Consider the following 18763-nt stretch of genomic DNA (forward strand, 5'->3'; position numbering starts at 1 on the left):
TCCCTACAACACACAAGTGCCTCTTGGCTGCCCCTTTGCTTCTGGGCACATTGGGTAGGGAATTCCAGGGTCCTGGGCACAAACATGGACAAGCAGGGGTTGGTGTGGGCTCTGAATACTCACAGCACCTTGAGGCCGAGGACTCCTCACCTCAGCAAGGCTCAGGTGGGGGAGGCCGGCCGGGACCTCCTAAAGCTGGGGTCCCTGTTGTCAGGGCAAGGAAAGGGATGCCCTTGATTCTATCTCCAACTCTCCTCCTGAATGAGGGTACCCACTTCTCCCTTCTCCACTGCCAGCATTCTAGGCCAAGTCACCAACAGCTGGTCCGTGCTCTCGGTGACCCCTCCCTGCTCTCTATTCTCCTCGCAGCCCCCAGAGTGACCTTGTGAAAATATAAAGCAGATCATCTCAACACCTTGCTTAAAACCTCCCCCTCACGCTTAGAATAAAATCCCAACTCCCTGACCTTCTAGGCTCTCTCTGGGGTGACCGGGTACCGTAGGGAGGGGCACACACTTTCGGTGACTATCCTTGGAGTTAATGGCATCAGGTTTGGCACCAGACGGCCTGGGCTCGGATTCCACTGAGCTACTTTTTACTTGTGTAAACCTCAGCAAGTTACTCAAACCTTCTAAGCCTTAATTTCCTCGTCTATAAACTGGCGATGACATTGTAAGTAGCTGCTTCATAGAGCTGCTGTCAGGATTCATTGGGACGTTGGTGAAAAGTGCTCAGTACATTCACTTTCAATACTAGCTGATAAAAGAATCCTAACAATAGAAACATTAACTTAAACACTCAGGGTCTCACCTTCAAATACTAGCTTTTCATGTCCTTACTTGGCTGATAAGCCACGCTGTCTATAAACTAAATAACTGAAGACAAGGTAACAATTAAATTAATGAAATAATAAAACTATAAAATTAATAACTAGAAAATATCCAGAATACCATGATAAGATTGTCTAAGAATTTTTTTTTAAATCATTTGAAGGGCTACCCCTTTTTCAGAGTAAGACTCACACCTACCATATCCCTGACCTGCAACTGTCCAGCCCCTCCAGAGCTGGGGCATCCTGATTGAGTAGGGGAGCCATTATATTTTCAGCTAATACCCATTTTATGAGGAACATTCTGTAAAACCAAAATTGATCTTCCCTTAGTGAACACCCACTAGTCTTGTTTCACCCAGTGGCATTCCTCAGACAGAGCAACTTTAAATAAGTGCAGATGGCTGTCTTGTTCTCCACTGAACAGGCTCTCCTAGGGGTGAAAGCTCCCAGGTCCTCAACCCTTCCTCACAGTACGTGGTTTCTAGCCCCTATCATTCTGATGTTGCTTTTCTGAGCATGCTGGTCTGGGAATGTCTCTTTTGAAAGGGGCTACTCAAAGTAAACATTATCTTCCAGAGGTGGTCTTGGCATACTGAACAGAGTCAGATGTTACTTCCCTTTTTCTTAACACAGTCCACAGTCAAGGAACACATTCCCTTCCCTGGAAGACATATTTCACTGCTTCCAGTCAACTAAAATCCCCATGCTTCATGCACACTTCCTTCCAGCCATGCCTTCCCATCAACATTTATCTGTTTTGTCTCATCCATTTATGAGCAGGATTTTACATGTATTCCTATCTACTTCATTTGATTGACATCTTGATACTATCCTGGCCTCTCTAGATCATTGTGGATTATGAGTCTATCAGCCACTGGCTGGCATATACAGTTTCAAGTCACACAAGCATTGCTTTAGCAGGTCATCCATGCTAGTCACTGACAAAGCTATTGAACAGAGTCCTGCCATCTGCTATCCGGATCTGCCTTCAGCCTCACAGGGGCTTATTAACTACCACTCTTTACCCTTGATTATTAGACCAGTGTGGGGGACATACCCCAAGGTGGCCCCTAGTGACTCAGGCCCTTGTGTAATCCCTTCCCCTTGAATGTTTGCTTACAGCCCATCTTCTGATGCCCTGAAATTCTCTTTATGTTAAACTCCCTAAGGGTGAGGACCGTTGGTTTCATTTGTATACCCCAGACTGCTGAGCACAGCATCTTCCACCAGTACTTTCAACTTAAAACCTGTGAAAATAGTTTGTGACTGGAAAATACTGTTAATATATGATGCTACAATTCTTCAACTGTGGACTTAGTCTGAGTCAAGGACTTTTAATTTATATGGATGATCTGGATAACAGTAAAATTCAGATTATACGTATGTATTCATTCATTTATTTGTTTATTTAGGAGATGGGATATTGCTATGTTGCCCAGGCTGGTCTCAAACTCCTGGTCTCAAGCGATCCTCCCACCTCAGCCTCCGAAAGTGTTAAGATTACAGGCATGAGCCAGCACACCTACCAAAACTCAGATTTTATAAGCAAGACACATCGTTTCCTTCCTCTGTGACCTTACTGTGACCTCTGTGTTACTGTGATGGCCAACCATTCATCTACTCATGACATGTAACTCCCTTAATGGTAGCTTTGTGACCCAAAAGACTTGATCTTGCTTTCAGAGGAGCTTGATTTATATTGCATTGAAATAGCTCAAGGACCAAGAAAATTCAAATTAACCAACCTTTCACTCAACAAATAATTAATGGAGTCCCTTTAAGTACTGTCCACAGATTCTTAGTTACACTTCTTTTCAAGATGTGGAACTTAATTCCACTTGCATTGAGTGTGGGCTGGACTTAGTGACTTATTTCTAAGAAACAGAATGAAGTGGATGTGATGGTGTGTGGCTTCTGAGGCTAGTATGTCATGGTATCTTCCTTCTTGTTCTCTCTCTTGAATTCCTTGTTCTGGCAGCAGCCAGCTGCCACATTGTGAGGACACTCAAGCAATTTCACACAGCAAGGAACTGAGGCCTCCTGCCAAGAGCTATGTGAACAGGCCACTTAAGTAGCAGACCCTCCAGCCACAGTCAAGCCTTCAGATGACTGCAGCTCTGGCTGAGATCTTGACACAACCTCATGAAAAACAGTGAGTCAGGACCATCTAGCTAAGCTGCTCTTGAATTCCTGGTCCACAAAAACTATGAGATGATGAATATTTATTGTTTTAAATTGCCAAGTTTTAGAGTAACTTGTTATGCAGCAATAAACAACTAATACAAATACAAATTCAGAATTTTGACTTACCTTGTAGTATTGTAAAATTCTTGATGAGCTGACCATGCTTGGAGTCTACTAGCTTCATTTCTTCCATAATCACTGATAAGTTGGCTACTTCAGTGTCTAACCTCGACCTCATCAAATCTTGTTGCATCCTGAGAGAAACAGAATCCAAACGGATGTTGGCCAGGGTATTATTCAAGGAGGTCAGATCATCTGTGTGTTTGGTAAGGGTATCTGTGCAAGTGGTCCTGACTTCATTTAGATTGCTGGTCAGCGTCCGCAGGTGGTGGGCTGTGTAACTGATATTGCTAATGATGTTCACAATATCCGTCTCAAAGAGCTGGAAGCGTTCCTCCAGTTGGTTGAACTTGATGGCTGTTCTATTCTCTGCATCTTTGTGTAAGTCCTGCAGGTCTTTCAGGTTCTGCTCGTTGGCTTGAGAGATAGTGGTGATGTTCTCCATCTGACCTGTGAATGAGTTGAGCTGGCTGTTCATATCCTCCAGGGTGTCGTTGTTGGCTTTGGCCAACGCAGAGTTGTTGGCAGCCAGCGTCTGCAAGCTCTGCACTTTCTCCTTCAGCCAATCCGTGTCCTTCTTGGCTTGAAGAAAAACCTGCTGCAGATTTTGAAAGTCGTTCTTGATTCGCTGGATAGCCTGGCTTGTGTCATCCACAGACCGCTGCAGATTCGTGATGAGGTTCCTCTGCTGCACCTGGGTCAGGTTCAGGTTGTTGAGGTTCATGATGACCACATTATGAGAATACATTTGGTTCTGCAGATTGCCCTGGAGCACGCTGGTATCTTGCTGCAGATTCGTGACATAGCCATTATACGCCTGGAGGGTTTTGTTTACAGTGGTGATGAGGAAAGAGTTATTCTCCAAAGTTTCTTTCAATTGACTCTGCCTGTCCACCAGAGCATCCCCGCTCGCCTGTAACTTCTCCAGCGTATCCTTGTTCTTGCTGGTTTTTTCTGTAATCTCACGAAGTTGCTGACGGAGATCTAGAATGTCTGATCTGAAGGTGGAGAGTTCTGAGTTGGTGCTGATAGCTTTCTTCCCAGTTTGGTCACCTGGAATAAGAAATATCTGTGACTTATATTGGTGGTATGGAGAAGTGTTCAGGCAAGGCCAAAGATCCCGAACACACTTAATCGGTATGCACTGTATTTTAGATGCAAAATTGGCAGTATAAGCGGACAGCTCTGCATTAGTAAAATGTACATATCTATTAAAACTGGGTCCTGGGGAATCGGAAAAGAAGCTCAGAACTAGGAATGACAAACTTGGCTGAACATTTTTCTCAAAGAGGGAGGGGGAATTTACTAGATTTTAGGGCAGTGGGCAGGCTGTCAAGAAGAAACTAACCTTTTAAATTTCCCAAATTTTTTTTTAATGAAAGCAAAAATCAAGGAATAGAATATGCTAGGATCTTTCACTTTATAACTTAATTTCTACAATTCTATGTAGTTTAAAGTATTTCAAAAATGCTCAGTAAATTCCTATTTATGTGACAGTTTTTAATAAAGGGTATTTGTGTTTTTTTTCAGTCAGGATTGATCTTCAGATATTATTTGGCACATAATAGTTTTCTTGGCAGGACTTAATTCCAAAACTGACCCTTAACTTTAAAATTTAAGCATTTGAATTAAATCATGAGGGGAGACTCAACATGCAACACAAAAATTGAATGTCCTTCCGGGTGAATGGGGAGTTTATAGCAACATCATTCTAAGAAGCTGTGGTCATTTATGTAGAGTCAGGGGATTTCATGGTTTAGTCTTGTCACAGATTACCTAATTTTTTCAGGTCACTTTCCACTGCTGTGAGCTTGTCATCATAGGTTTGGCGAGATGTTTCCATGCCACCTGTGACATTGTCCATTTTCTCTACAACTAAGATTTGGAAAATGATGCATTAGTATACATATCTGCTCATATTTTATTTTTCAGTTTCAAAACAAGAGATCATTTCATTATGGAACAAAGGAAACAGATTGAACGAAAACAGTGTAACTGAAATCAAATATAGGAAAGAAAAGCCATCTTTTTGGAAAAATAACTTACTTGTCACAAAACCCAGGGGTACAATTTACTTAGTTGAGAATTGTATGTTCTTAACTATTCTTATGATTCTGTAATGCCTTGGATGTTTCAGAAATCATTTGGAACTAATTTAAAAATTTTCATGCATTTTAGAAGTCCCTAATCTGCTATTTCCTATATTAATTTCCATAGATGAAGGCAAGGCACACTGTGATAATTTACAAAATGTTGTCACTCATCAGCTTCCCTAACATTCTTGGCAGGTGGGACTCATTTACCTAGAAGAGGATTCCATTGGCAAGGAAAACCCAGCTCAATTCTATACACAAAATCGGCATAGAAAGGTTGCAAAGTCAAGAGTGTCTGCCACTTTCTGTTATGAGTTCCACCACAAGGCCCTGAAAATCTGCTTTTTGTTAGTGACAACTGATTCTGTAGTTTGTCAGTTCTCAAGTAGATGCCTGAGTGGTGTTTCCAAACAATGATTTGCCAAGAAGTATTTTTTGGTAGTATTTTCTTGATTGCATATGATAGGGAAAGTAATGCCACTGATAGGGTTTGGCTGTGTCCCCACCCAAATCTCACCTTGAATTATACTCCCCTAATTCCCATGTGTTGTGGGAGGGACTTGGTGGGAGATAATTTGAATAATGGGGGTGGTTTCCCCTATACTGTTCTGGTGGTAGTGAATAAGTCTCACAAGATCTGATGGTCTTATCAGGGGTTTCCACTTTTGCATCTTTCTAATTTTCTCTTGCCGTCCCAAATGTTAACCCCCAAGACAATGGGGAAAATGTCTTCAGGGCATGTCAGAGCCTTCCTGGCAGCCCTTTCCATCACTGGCCTGGAGGCCCAGGAGAAAATGGTTTCGTGGGCCAGGCCCAGGGTCCCCATGCTGTGTGCAGCCTAGGGACTTGGTGCCCTGCTTCCCAGCCACTCCAGCCATGGCTGAAAGGGGCCAATGTGGAGCTGGGGCCGTGGCTTCAGAGGGTGCAAGTCTCAAGCCTTGGCAGCTTTCATGTGTTGTTGAGCCTGTGAGTGCACAGAAATCAATAATTGAGGTTTGGGAACCTCCGCCTGGATTTCAGAGGATGTATGGGAACTCTTGGATACCCAGGGAGAGGTTTGCTGCACGGGTGGGATGTGCATGAAGAACCTCTGCTAGGGCAGTGTGGAAGGGAAATGTGGTGTCGGAGCCCCCACACAGAGTCCCTACTGGGGCACTGCCTAGTGGAGCTGTGAGAAGAGGGCCACCGTCCTCCAGACCCCAGAAGGGTAGATCCACTGACAGTTTGCACCGTTCACCTGGAAAAGCCACAGATGCTCAACACCAGCCATGAAAGCAGCAGGGAGAGAGGCTGTACCCTGCAAAGCCACAGGGGTGGAGCTGCCCAAGACCATGGGAACCCACCTCTTGCGTCAGCATGACCGGGATGTGCGACCTGGAGTCAAAGGAGATAATTGTGGAGCTTTAAAATTTGACTGCCCTGCTGACTTTGAACTTGCATGGGGCCTGTAACCCCTCTGTTTTGGCCAATTTCTCCCATTTGGAAAGGCTATATTTACCCAATACCTGTAACCCTCATTGTATCTAGGAAGTAACTAGCTTGCTTTTGATTTTACAGGCTCATAGGCGGAAGGGACTTGCCTTGTCTCAGATGGGACTTTGGACTGCAGACTTTAGGGTTAATGCTGAAATGAGTTAAAACTTTGTGGGACTGTTGGGAAGGCATGATTTGTTTTGAAACGTGAGGACATGAGATTTGGCAGGGGCCAGGGGTGGAATGATACAGTTTGGCTGTATTCTCGCCCAAATCTCATCTTGAATTATATCTCCCAGAATTTACATGTGTTGTGGGAAGGACCCAGTGGGAGATAATTTGAATCATGGGGGCGGTTTCCCCCATACTGTTCTCATGGTAGTGAATAAGTCTCACGAGATCTGATGGGTTTCCACTTTTTCATCTTTCTCACTTTCTCTTGCTGCTGCCGTGTAAGAAGTGCCTTTTGCCTCCCACCATGATTCTGAGGCCTCCCCAGCCATGTGGAACTGTAATTCCAGTTAAACCTCTTGTTCTTCCCAGTCTCGGGTATGTCTTTATCAGCAGCATGGGAACGGACTAATACAGCCACACTAAATAAAAGCTTCAGTTCTTATTCATTTTCAGAAGGCAGTAATTCTCTACAGTTATGAATTCAAGTACACGTTTCTAAAATGTTAAATAAGAGGATGTTTCTCCAAAAGTGATTTATGTGAGATACAGCTTCTAGCAGCTTGGGATCAAGTCTGACTGTCCTTCTTAGTATCAATAGCTTAAAAAAAAAGACTTCAGACCGGGCATGGTGGCTCACGCCCGTAATTCCAACACTTTGGGAGGCTGGGGTGGGTGGATCATTTGAGCTCAGGAGTTCAAGACCAGCCTGGCCAACATGGTGAAACCCCATCTCTACTAAAAATACAAAAATTAGCCGGTTGTGGTGGTACACGCCTGTAACCTCAGCTACTTAGGAGGCTGAGGCAGGAGAATTGCTTGAACCTGGGAGGTGGAACCAGGAGAATTGCTTGAACCTGGGAAGTGGAGGTTGCAGTGAGCCGAGATCACGCCATTGCACTCCAGCCTGGGCAACAGAGCGAGACTCTGTCTCAAAAAAAAAAAAAAAAAAGACTTCAAAAAATGAGAACATGCTTTATATATCAATTATGAGCCAACGGATCTAATTTATTGTATTCATCACATGTTCTACCCACGCATGACTGTGTGAGATTCTCCTGGCTCCTCTCAGGAAGAAGTAGTAAGTTCCCATGTGTTTGTGTGACCCAAAGTGAACTGGCTCCTTGGATCCTGGAATTGTCCCTGGAGAAGCTCACTGTTTTCCCTCAAGCTTCTACCGTCTGGTCATAATGAAATGTGTGCACTGCGACAAACACTCTCTCACACGAGCCTTTCCATGTGTTCTCTCTACCTAGAATGTTCTTCCCTGTTTTTTTTTTTTACTGAGCTAAGTCCTATTTGCTCTTCAAGACTCTGCTTGTCACTTCCTGTGGGAACCCTTTGCCGAGGTGCACCTTGCAGAATTCCCCTGGCAAGTAGTCCTTTCTCTATTATGGGACTCACTGCACTGTGCTGTCATGACTTATCTACTATTATATCCTTTAGGGCAGGAAAATTTACATTCAATTCCATCTCTTCCTCTTAGCTCAGTGTGTGGCACTTTGTAGGTAGTCAATGAATATATATTTATTATGTCATTTATTTATTTAATTTTTTATTAGACGGAGTTTCACTCTTGTTGCCCAGGTTGGAGTACAATGGAATGATCTTAGCTGACTGCAACCTCCGCCTCCCAGGTTCAAGTGATTCTCCTGCTTCAGCCTCCCGAGTAGCTGGGATTACAGGAGCCTGTTACCACGCCCGGCTAATTTTTGTATTTTTATTATACTTTAAGTTTTAGGGTACATGTGCACAACGTGCAGGTTTGTTACATACGTATACATGTGCCATGTTCGTGTGCTGCACCCATTAACTCGTCAATTTTTGTATTTTTAGTAGAGATGGGGTTTCTCTATGTTGGCCAGGCTGGTCTCGAACTCCTGACCTCAGATGATCTGCCCACCTTGGCCTCCCAAAGTGCTAGGATTACAGGAATGAGGGATTTATTTAAATAAGTAGCAATCTGCCGGCTGAGCTACAGGGCAAGCAAACACGTGTTTCCCAACCAACCCAGGGAAGCCTGAGCATTGGCAGTGAGTATGACATTTCGCTGAGTAATTATTATTTTTAAAATTACTACATAGACAGAGAGATGCAGTTCTAATAATCTGTACCTTAGGGTTGCTTCATAGGTACACATACTCCTAAATCCCTGGAAACTCTCAAGAATAAAATGTTGCATATGTGTTTTTAGCAAAGCTAATTTTTAAGAACTAAAATACAGAATGTTTACAGGTTTAGGTTCAGTTTTGATCCTCAAATCAAAACATATGCCTCGGTCTGTCCTCAAACCACATGCAGGATCTCAAGTCCTGCCCTTCTTTCCTGGAAGCCAAAGAAACCTTCAAATATGCTGACAGTCAGTCATTTTCTACCCTTTCTACTTTTTCTTCCATTTTAGTTTTGAAAAACAGAGAACTGTCATGGACAGATAACTCAGGTTTGTGTAGAATAAATACAAAAGGGATAAATACATTCATTAAAAAAAAGAACAAAAAAAATCTGTCGACGTTTTCTTCTGTGCAGCAAAAGGAAACTATTTTCCCTGCCCACAAGTGCTAATGAACAGTTTACATGCACTGGGGGGTGTGTGTCTTTGTTTAACAATAGGATCTGGTATAAAGCTGGAAATGTTAGGATTGCAATGCTGGAACCTGCTACTGCATAAAAATACCAGACTGGTGGAGATCCAGAACTTACCCTTGCTGTAACAGCACACAGCACTTTCATTGACTTTTATTCTGAATTTATTAGCACCAATTCTCAATCAGGAATACAGTCGCAGAGCCATCCTGTATTACCCTGGAAATTCCCAGTCTATAGACATAGACCTCAGTTTGCAGACCATTCTCACATGAGAAAAATGAGCAGGATACACAGAAGGGTGACCAGCAGTCTGGTTTCTCATAGGCTCTCCTGTATTGGGAATTGTTTCTTAAGGTAGAATTTTTCTACAGAATATTGGTGTTTCAGGTATTATACCTGAAGATCTGTCCCTCTTCAAGTATCCAAAGTATAATTCTCTAGGATACTCTGACAATAAAACCTTTTTTATAAAAGCACTTCGGTATCATCCCTTGGCCTGGGCCACTAACTTCTTCTTCCCTCGTCTTGACTCCACTTCTCCTTGAAGGTCCGCTCCACACCTCACTACCCCATTGTACTCAGCCACACCTACAAGTTGATTCCACTGCACACCAACTCGATCTTTATTTGAATGATAATAATAATAGCCTCTATTTATCGAGTGCCTGCTCTTTGCCGGATGCACTACACCATCACTGCAGTTAATCCTTCCAACTGCTGTTTTGTAGATGAAGAGATTGAGGCTCACAGATGTTCAGTAACTTGCTAAAAAGTCACACAGCTTGTCAGTGACTATGTGGGATACCAGGCTGGAAGGTTTAACTCCAAAATCCATGCTCTTTCTATGACTCCGTATCACCTCTCTTTTGGTATTTCTTTTTCCTAAATCTGGTTTCCTCCAATAAAGAATCCCTTAAGGGGAAGAATTATTTCTGTTTATATTCTCTTTAAAGTTAACATCACCAGACATTTACCAAGTATCTGCCATGTAGGTGGCATAGTGCTAGACATTGAGGATTCAAGAGACACAGGCCATGGTCTCGGCCCTGAGGACAGAGCACAGAGCTCCTAGCTGGTGCTCACACGTTTTTGTACCAGACTGATCATGGCACTGTGGGATAAATACTTCCTCTCTCTGGGACCTGGGGCTTCCCAGTAACATTAGTTACACTCCTCTGGAATTTAATAAAGGCATTTCTACCTTGAACACCATTTTAGGTTTCCTTACAGAAATACAGAAAATCTGATTGTAGGGTGTTATCCTGGATCCTAAAGCGCTCTCCAGTGTGATTTGATGTGTATTTTGAAAGCCTAAATAGTAATCCAGTTGTAAACTGCTACACTGACCCAGCTTAGCAGCAAAGTAGACTACCAGTGACTAGGAATGTTGAATTAAAGGAGATCCTTATTGAGAAAGATTCAGATTTCTGTCTTTTTTCTTTTTCCTAATTACCTTTAGAAGGTTGCCTGTTGGAAAGGATAATGGAGTAGGATTTTCCTGTTCAGGAAATATTCTGGAAGAAACATGACACATTGAACTTAAGAGATGACTCCTGCTATGGAAGCTCTGTTGACTAATGATAAAAAGCCCGGGGCAGAGGATGTACCAAGCTCAACTGTCCAAGAACATGTTTTCTGCAAAGTGGCTGATACGCCTCACAGTCACGACCACTGCACAGACCCTGTCTGGGTGACTGAGCGATTCTCTGGCTTCTTCAGCAAATTCTCTTGATGGAAGCTCATTGTATTCTAACTTGTGGCTATGTAAGTGACATGAAAGAAGAAAAGAACAATTTTGAGCAAAACAGTATGAAGTTGCCTTTGCCAGCTCTGATAAATAAAAGTTTTTACTCCTTTCCTTTCGATTTCTCCTTCAGAGGAATGCCTTATTGTGTTTCTTTCATTGAATATTCTTTTCTTTCTTTCTTTTGTAACGGAGAGAGTTTCTCTAGACTTCAAAGGGGGAATGTGTGAAGGGAGAACTGGGTTTTATCTTTCTGCCTCTTACAACATTGGGTCACTAGAATCTTACCAGCAAGAAAGAGGAGTCACTGTGTGAGTAAAGAGAAAGCACATCTGGAAAATATCAACATTTTAGTTCATTAATGGTGTGTTTGGAAAGCAAAAGTGCATGTTGTATTATCTTTTTTTTGGTCAGTGGAGGCCTGAAGGAGGGGGGCACTGAAGGAAAGAAAAGAGGGGCAAGACATCATCTCGTTTCCCCTTGTACTTGCTCCCCATTATCTCTTCTTCCTTCATCTTGGTGAGACTGCCCCCACAGAGCAGGCCAAGCCAATCTCCAAAACATTAGGTTTCCAGGCAGGGCTTTTAGGGGCAGCTATCCCCTAGATGCAGATTGGCTTAGAGGTCCCTGAGCATCTGCTGTTTGCCTTCCTGGAAGGCAGCCCTAATGCACAATCCATCAATCCATCCATGCATCCATCCATCCATCCATCCATCCATCCATCCATCCATCCATCCTCCCATTAATTCATTCAGTGAACTTTCCTGGGCAATGGTTAAATATCATGAGACTAGGTGCTGGTGGGAGATATAATAAATAAAAGGTAGTCTCTTGTCTTCATGGAAACTCGTAGTTTGGGTGGTGACACAGACAAGTCCACTGACTCTAATGACACAGTGTGACAGGGGCTAAGAGTAAATGCTGGGTGCTATGGGAACAAACAGGAAGGGGCCTAATTCAGCTTTCGGGAGCTGCCATGTGTCTACATGAGACATGAAGGGTGGGAGGGAGGCACTTTAGCTGGAGAGCAGAGAAAAGGTGCTGTGGGCAAATGGACCAGCACACGCACAACACGCCAGAGCCAGGAAGGGCTTTCCATGGATAAAAAGGGAGGAAATATCTGTACCTTAACAAACAAACAGAAAAAAAAGAAAGGAGAAAAAAAGCCTCTTCTTTGACTCTTTTTGTATAATTCTGAATGCATAAATGTCCCAGACTTTATTTCCTAGCACAGGTAAAAATTACAACATGTTATATATTTGCCAAACCACTCTCATCTCTCTTTTAGCAGTAAATGTGATTACACAGTACTGAGGCTTAAAAGTACTTATTAAATGGCTGATTTCAAGCTTCTCCTTTATCTTGGCTCACTAGGAAAAGTCATGGAGAAGTGAGTAATGACCTAAATAATCTAAACAAAAGGAAGAGAGATAGTCCGGATTACCTGGGACATGGAAAACCCTCCTTTCTCTCATCAGCTTCCCACCCCACCTCTGCCCAGCGCTAATCATGATTTAATAGCCTTCCTTAATCACTTACTCTGTTTGCTGCTTCATCTAAAAACTTAAGATGCTCTGGGTTAGATCACAGTCTAACTCATCACAAATGGATAGAACGACCTGGTAGTTTTCCAGATTTCCATTGTCCAAACTAATCAGCCAACACACTCAATGATGCACATTATTTTCCACGTATATGGCCTTAGAGATGGGACTAAAAGTCCCGACTGTACTGAGGATGTTTGACAGGTTTTGCCATTCTAACTGCTAGTGCTGTGTAATGTGGCTAGGAAGAAGCAAGGAACAGAGAGATACAGATATGATTTCCTGGGACCAGCTATAGGAGAGATTCTTCAATTACATCATCTTTGCTCATCCCAAACACCTTGACAAGTAGCATTATTACTGCCATTTTGCAGATAAGAAATCAGAAGCTCTAAGAGGCTATGATTCACACCTGGGTATGGAGCCATGCAGAAGACATAGCATGACCCCTGGCACAGTAGCAAGCACTTACTGAACATTCACAATTGTATTAAAAATGGTAGGATCAAGGCTTGAACTTGGACTGTCTGGCCCTGACACCCATCTCATTCCAATACACACTGTGCTTTCTCAGGAAACTGCTACATGCTGGGAGAGAGGTGGGAGGAATGACCAGTTGGAGGGAATTCACTTGGAGTCTTTCTTTTCCTGGGTCAGTCTGTGGGCCACACAGCAGAGGGAAGACCTGATGATCCACAGACTCCACGTCTGCCTCTGTTCTGAAACCAAATGGCCGTGTTTGCCTCACGTGTCTTTTAAAGAAGGTTTCCCTGGCTGTTTTCTAGAAAAGGGCTTATGTAGTTTTGTGATTCTGAATCACGACACCTTCTACCTATGGTCTCTGAAAGGTGCATGGGGAACTTACTGTGTCTGCAAGTCTGGAGGATTCAGGCAAAAATCCTGCCCTTACCCTAAACCAGATATGTTTAGGCCCAACATCCTATAAAGTAGGGTGAGGTGGTAGTGCTGCCTCTGTGCTTAATTTCTACAGGGCAGTATTTTTATAGAGCTATATAAACAACAGTGACCACAGTGAATGTGCTGCAGAGAAAAAAGGGAATTAGTTGGCCGATCCCTGGGTGAAGTATGTTGTATCTCTGGAGATCTTGTGTTTTGCTTATTCTCTGTCAATATAGTTTTCCTGTGTGCTGACTCCAGGGTTTCCATAAAGCCTCCAAGAGATAGGACGAAAGAAAAAAAAATAGAGGAAGAAGGAGTAGCTAGAAATAGGTAGAAAAAAGCAACAAGGGAAAAAAAACTTTATAACTCTCAGAGAGGACGCTGATTATTGCTGAAATGAGTCAAAAGGAATTACTATGTCCCCCCTTTCAGATCTCATAGCTGTAAGTTTAAGATACAGAGATGAAGTTTATCATGTTGTTATTTTGCATCTGAGTTGTATGAATGAAATACTTCGTATTTGCAAATATGAGTTTTCTCATGCTTAAATTAATGAAGGAACACTTGTTATTTGGAAGAAAAAAAAGAAAGCATGCTTACCTTTATATCCCAAAATGGCTACTGTGATTGTTAGCAAGGCACACAAAATGTATAATAATATGATAGAAAACTTCAGTGCCCAGTTATTTTTACATTTGGTACATTGTGTTCCTTCCTGAATACCTGTAAGAGAAGTCAAATTTTAATAACAGTAAGCAAAGATGTCATTTTAAAATTTATCTTTTTGCATTTAGGTTCAAATATTGGGACTAAGAATAATTTTTACAAATGCCTTACTATACTATGAGAACTATTTTGACAGTAAACACACTGCTTGAGCAACATAAGCACTTCAATATTACCATTCTATTGTTATAGCTGTATTTAATATGACTTAAAAATAGCACATAACTTTGTTTCATAGAATACAGTCATGCATCAGTTAATGGGGATACATTCTGAGAATGGCATCATTAGGCAATTTCATCACTGTGTGAACATCCTGGAGCAGGGATCCCTAATTCCCGGGCCATGGACTGGTACCAGTCTGGTGGCCTGTTAGGAACCGGCTGCACAGCAGGAGTTGAGTGGCAGGTGAGCCAGCATGACCACCTGAGCTCTGTCTCCTGTCAGATCAGTGGCAGCATTAGATTCTCTTAGGAGCGTGAACCCTATTGTGAACTGCACATGCGAGGGATCTAGGTTGCATGCTCCTTATGAGAATCTGACTAATGCCTGATGATCTCAGGTGGAGCAGTTTCATCCTGAAACCATCTCCCGCCCCCTGTCCATCCATGGAAAAATTATCTTCCATGAAACTGGTCCCTGGTTCCAAAAAGGTAGGGGACCACTGTCCTAGAGTGTACTTACACAGTCCTAGATGGTATAGACCAGCGGTCCCCATCTTCTTCCCCAATTTTTCCATGGACCAGAGTAGGGGTAGGGATGGTTTCGGGATGATTCAAATGCATTCCATTTATTGTGTACTTTATCTCTATTATTATTACATTGTAATATATAATGAAATAATTATACAACTCACCATAATGTAGAAACAGTGGGAGCCCTGAGCTTGTTTTCCTGGAAATAGATGGTCCCGTATGGGTGCGATGGGAGACAGTGACAGATCACAGGCATTAGATTCTTATAAGGAGCGCACAACCTAGATCCCTCACATGCACAGTTCACAACAGGATTCGCGCTTCTTTGAGAATCTAATGCTGCCACTGATCTGACAGGAGGCGGAGCTCAGGTGGTCATGCAAGTGATGGGAAATGGATGTAAATACAGATGATGCTTCACTCACTCGCCCACTGCTCACCTCCTGCTATGCAGTCCAGTTCCTAACAGGTAACTGGTCCATGGCCCTGGGGGTTGGGGACCTCTGGTATAGACTACTACACACCTAGGCTACATGGTATGGCCTGTTGCTCCTAGGCTCAAACCTGTACAGCATGTTACTGTACTGACAGGCAACTTTATTTCTGGCAACTTTAACACAATGGTAAGTATTTGTGTATCTAAACATAGAAAAGGTACAATAAAAATACAGTTTTATAATCTTATGGGACTGCCATCATCTATGCAGTCCATTGTTGACTGAAACGTTACGTGGCACATGACTGTAGTTTCAAATCAAATTCCATTATGATAATTACGATGATAATTTCAATAAAAATCTCTGTATGACAAAATATTTAAACATTCAAATTTACTTATTTCAGACACTGTTAGGCCTACAGCAATTCAAATACAACAAAAAAATCCTATTGATTGGTCCCTTGATGTTTGTTTCAGTGGCATGCTGAAGTTGGTTCCTACTGGCTTGTAAGAGCCAACTGTTAAATTTGTAAGAACTTTGAGAGCTGGTTGTGAAACTGTTGGTAGCTTGAAATCAGCCCTGCAGGGAGTATTTACACCATAGAAATTGGCAAACACCGCGAATTAGGATGGCCCCCATTCCCTGGCCGCAAACAACTAGTTTACCGGCATGCCACTGGTTGTAATGTATTATAACCTATGGCAGAAAATACAAGTAATCTTATAATTAACTGCCCAATATATAACAAATTTTGCATATTACATGTATACAAGAAACAGACAGTGACCCTTATATTAGTTATCACAGCGATTTGAATAATGACTGTAGAACAAATAGAAAAACCAGACACTTTTGATGAGAGGAGGTAAATTTTTACTGCTAAAAGGTCGTTTTTGAAAAACATTCTTGTCTGAGTGGTCAACCAGCATCAATGCTGCAAGTGACTCCAGAAACCTTTAAAAAGAGAATTTCCATCTGATAGATTAGAAACACACACAAGACAAAGACTGTGGATGTTTTAATGTGAAAATCACATTGTAAGGAATATCAGGAGATTCCCTGTTTTCCTGACCTGTTTCCCTATGTGTGTCTTACTAATAGCGTCCCCCAGGAGCAACAGCACATAAAGGACTGATCTATAACTGTGCTCAATAACTTTTGATGGGTAAGTCATGAGGATTAAGCCACAGTTGAAGTTTCTCTCCTTTGGTTTGTAATTTTACGCATAGTGCCCTTCTTCAGTGAAAAGAGTTCTTCAGCTGTGTTTAATGCAAAATGATGAGAGAAACAGCATATAACAATGACTTAAATTTAGCTTTCAGGGCTCAACCAATCCCTCTGGTGTTCAGCACATCCCTCTGGCTGTAGACACAAAGGGAGGAGGTGCATCTGTCAATTTCATGACTTAGAGCAGTGCTTCTCAAACTTTGGGGTGCATGAGAGTCACTTGAAGCAGTCATTAAAACACACTGTTTCTAATTCAGGAGGTCTGAGAAGGGACCTGAGAATTTGGATTTCTTTTTTTTTTTTTTTCTTTTTTGAGATGGAGTTTTGCTCTGTTGCCCAGGCTGGAGTGCAGTGGCACGATCTCGGCTCACTGCAACCTCTGCCTCCCGGGTTCAAGTGATTCTCCTGCCTCAGCCTCCCGAGTAGCTGGGATTACAGGTGCCCACGACCACACACGGCTACTTTTTGTATTTTTAGTAGAAACGGGGTTTCACCATGTTGGCCAGGCTGGTCACAAACTCCTGACCTCAAGTGATCCACCCACCTCGCCGCCTCAGCCTCCCAAAGTGCTGGGAGTATAGGTGTGAGCCACCACGCCTGGCCAAGAATTTGGATTTCTAAGAAGTTCCCAGGTGATGCTGATGCTGATGCTGATGCTGATGCTGCGGTCTGTGGACCACACTCAGGAACAATGCTTCTCAAACTTTAAAGTGCTTACACATCACATTGTTGAAATGCAGGTTCCGATTCAGTGGGTCTGAGGGAGGAGCTAAGATTCTACATTTCTGCAAGGCCTAGGTGGCAACTGGTCTGAGGACCACACTTCGAGGAGCAAGGATTTAGTTTAGAAGCTGGTCATGATGGATTGACCTTTGGTTAACCAATCCCTTGAAGGTGAAGCTTGTAAAATTAGACTCACTGATCAAACAGACCTAGAGTAAATAAACTTGTTTATTATAATTTTTCCATTTTTCCCCTCCCCTTCCTTTCTGTCTTACTTCCTTATAGCCACCTGTATGTCTCAGCACCGTCTCTTATGTCTAAAACTGACTTCAGTTCTAGCCCTGCCAAACCAGATCTCCAACTTCCACCCAACTTTTCTTATTGTACTCAACTCAACTACTATTTCTATCCCAATCCCTCAGGTGGTTAAACTCAAAGACACCATCATTTCTTCTCTTGTACTTATTCTCCAATTCAGTCACAGGCCTTGTGGGCTATTTTTCATCATGATCATCATCATCTACAGCTTATTGATGTTCACTTACTGCCTACAGTGTGCCAGGTTCTGAGCTAGATCCCTTACACACAGCATCTCTAATCCATAAAAGGACTGCAAGGGGGCATCTTGGTGAGAGCTGAACTGACACTCTATACAATGTTGCAGTCAGGACTCCAACCTGTGTCAGACTCTAGATGCCACGATCTCTCCACTAGGCCATGGTCCCTCTCTCTAGTCATCGTTTCCTCTCCATTTCCCCTGCCACCACCCTAGTGTGAGATCTTTTCATCTCAGTGGAAGCTTCCTCTTCCATTCCCACTGGAATCTAGCCTCACCCTTTATTAAAATACCACTGTCCTCATGACATTTGCTAAAAAGGAAAAAAACAAAACAACAAGCTTTCAAGAAGGCACTCTTAACTAAAGGATGCGCGCATGAACACACACACCCACACTCTCCCCAGCCCACCACACACACGGACCAGCGCATAAGCTCTCTGTAATCTGATGGTATAAAATGAAAAAAGACTCTTTACATCCAATAAGGGTGAAAATATTTTTGAAATTTAGAGAAAGGAACATATAGGTAGACCCACAGACACGCCACATTCCATGCTGAGAAACCATGAACTTGCTTTGGTGGCAACTGTGAAGCACAGAAGGGCGACAGACACGGGGTGCTGGCCTGACCTCCCGCTGAAGGACTGGGTGGCACTCCCATGGCTGATGGGCGGGTTTATTCCTTTTGGATTTTTGGACCATGCTGGGTGAGCTTCTTATGCCTCTTCAGGATGATTTCTTACATTC

The 18763-nt window shown here is 42.8% G+C and overlaps 1 protein-coding gene across 2 annotated transcripts in view; it reads right to left on the reverse strand.

Moving 5' to 3' along the window:
- The window catches only part of COLEC12 (collectin subfamily member 12), a 183965-nt gene that overhangs the window by 26416 nt on the left and 138786 nt on the right, over positions 1-18763 (reverse strand). For both annotated transcript variants that reach the window (XM_011525741.3, NM_130386.3), the window contains 3 exons: positions 14248-14370; positions 4913-5011; positions 3143-4189 (listed from right to left, as the gene is read on the reverse strand). In XM_011525741.3, coding sequence (XP_011524043.1) covers positions 3143-4189; positions 4913-5011; positions 14248-14370 — 1269 coding nt within the window. The remainder of the gene's footprint in view (positions 1-3142; positions 4190-4912; positions 5012-14247; positions 14371-18763) is intronic.

Source organism: Homo sapiens, chromosome 18, assembly GCF_000001405.40.
Source record: "Homo sapiens chromosome 18, GRCh38.p14 Primary Assembly".
Lineage (NCBI taxonomy): Eukaryota > Metazoa > Chordata > Mammalia > Primates > Hominidae > Homo > Homo sapiens.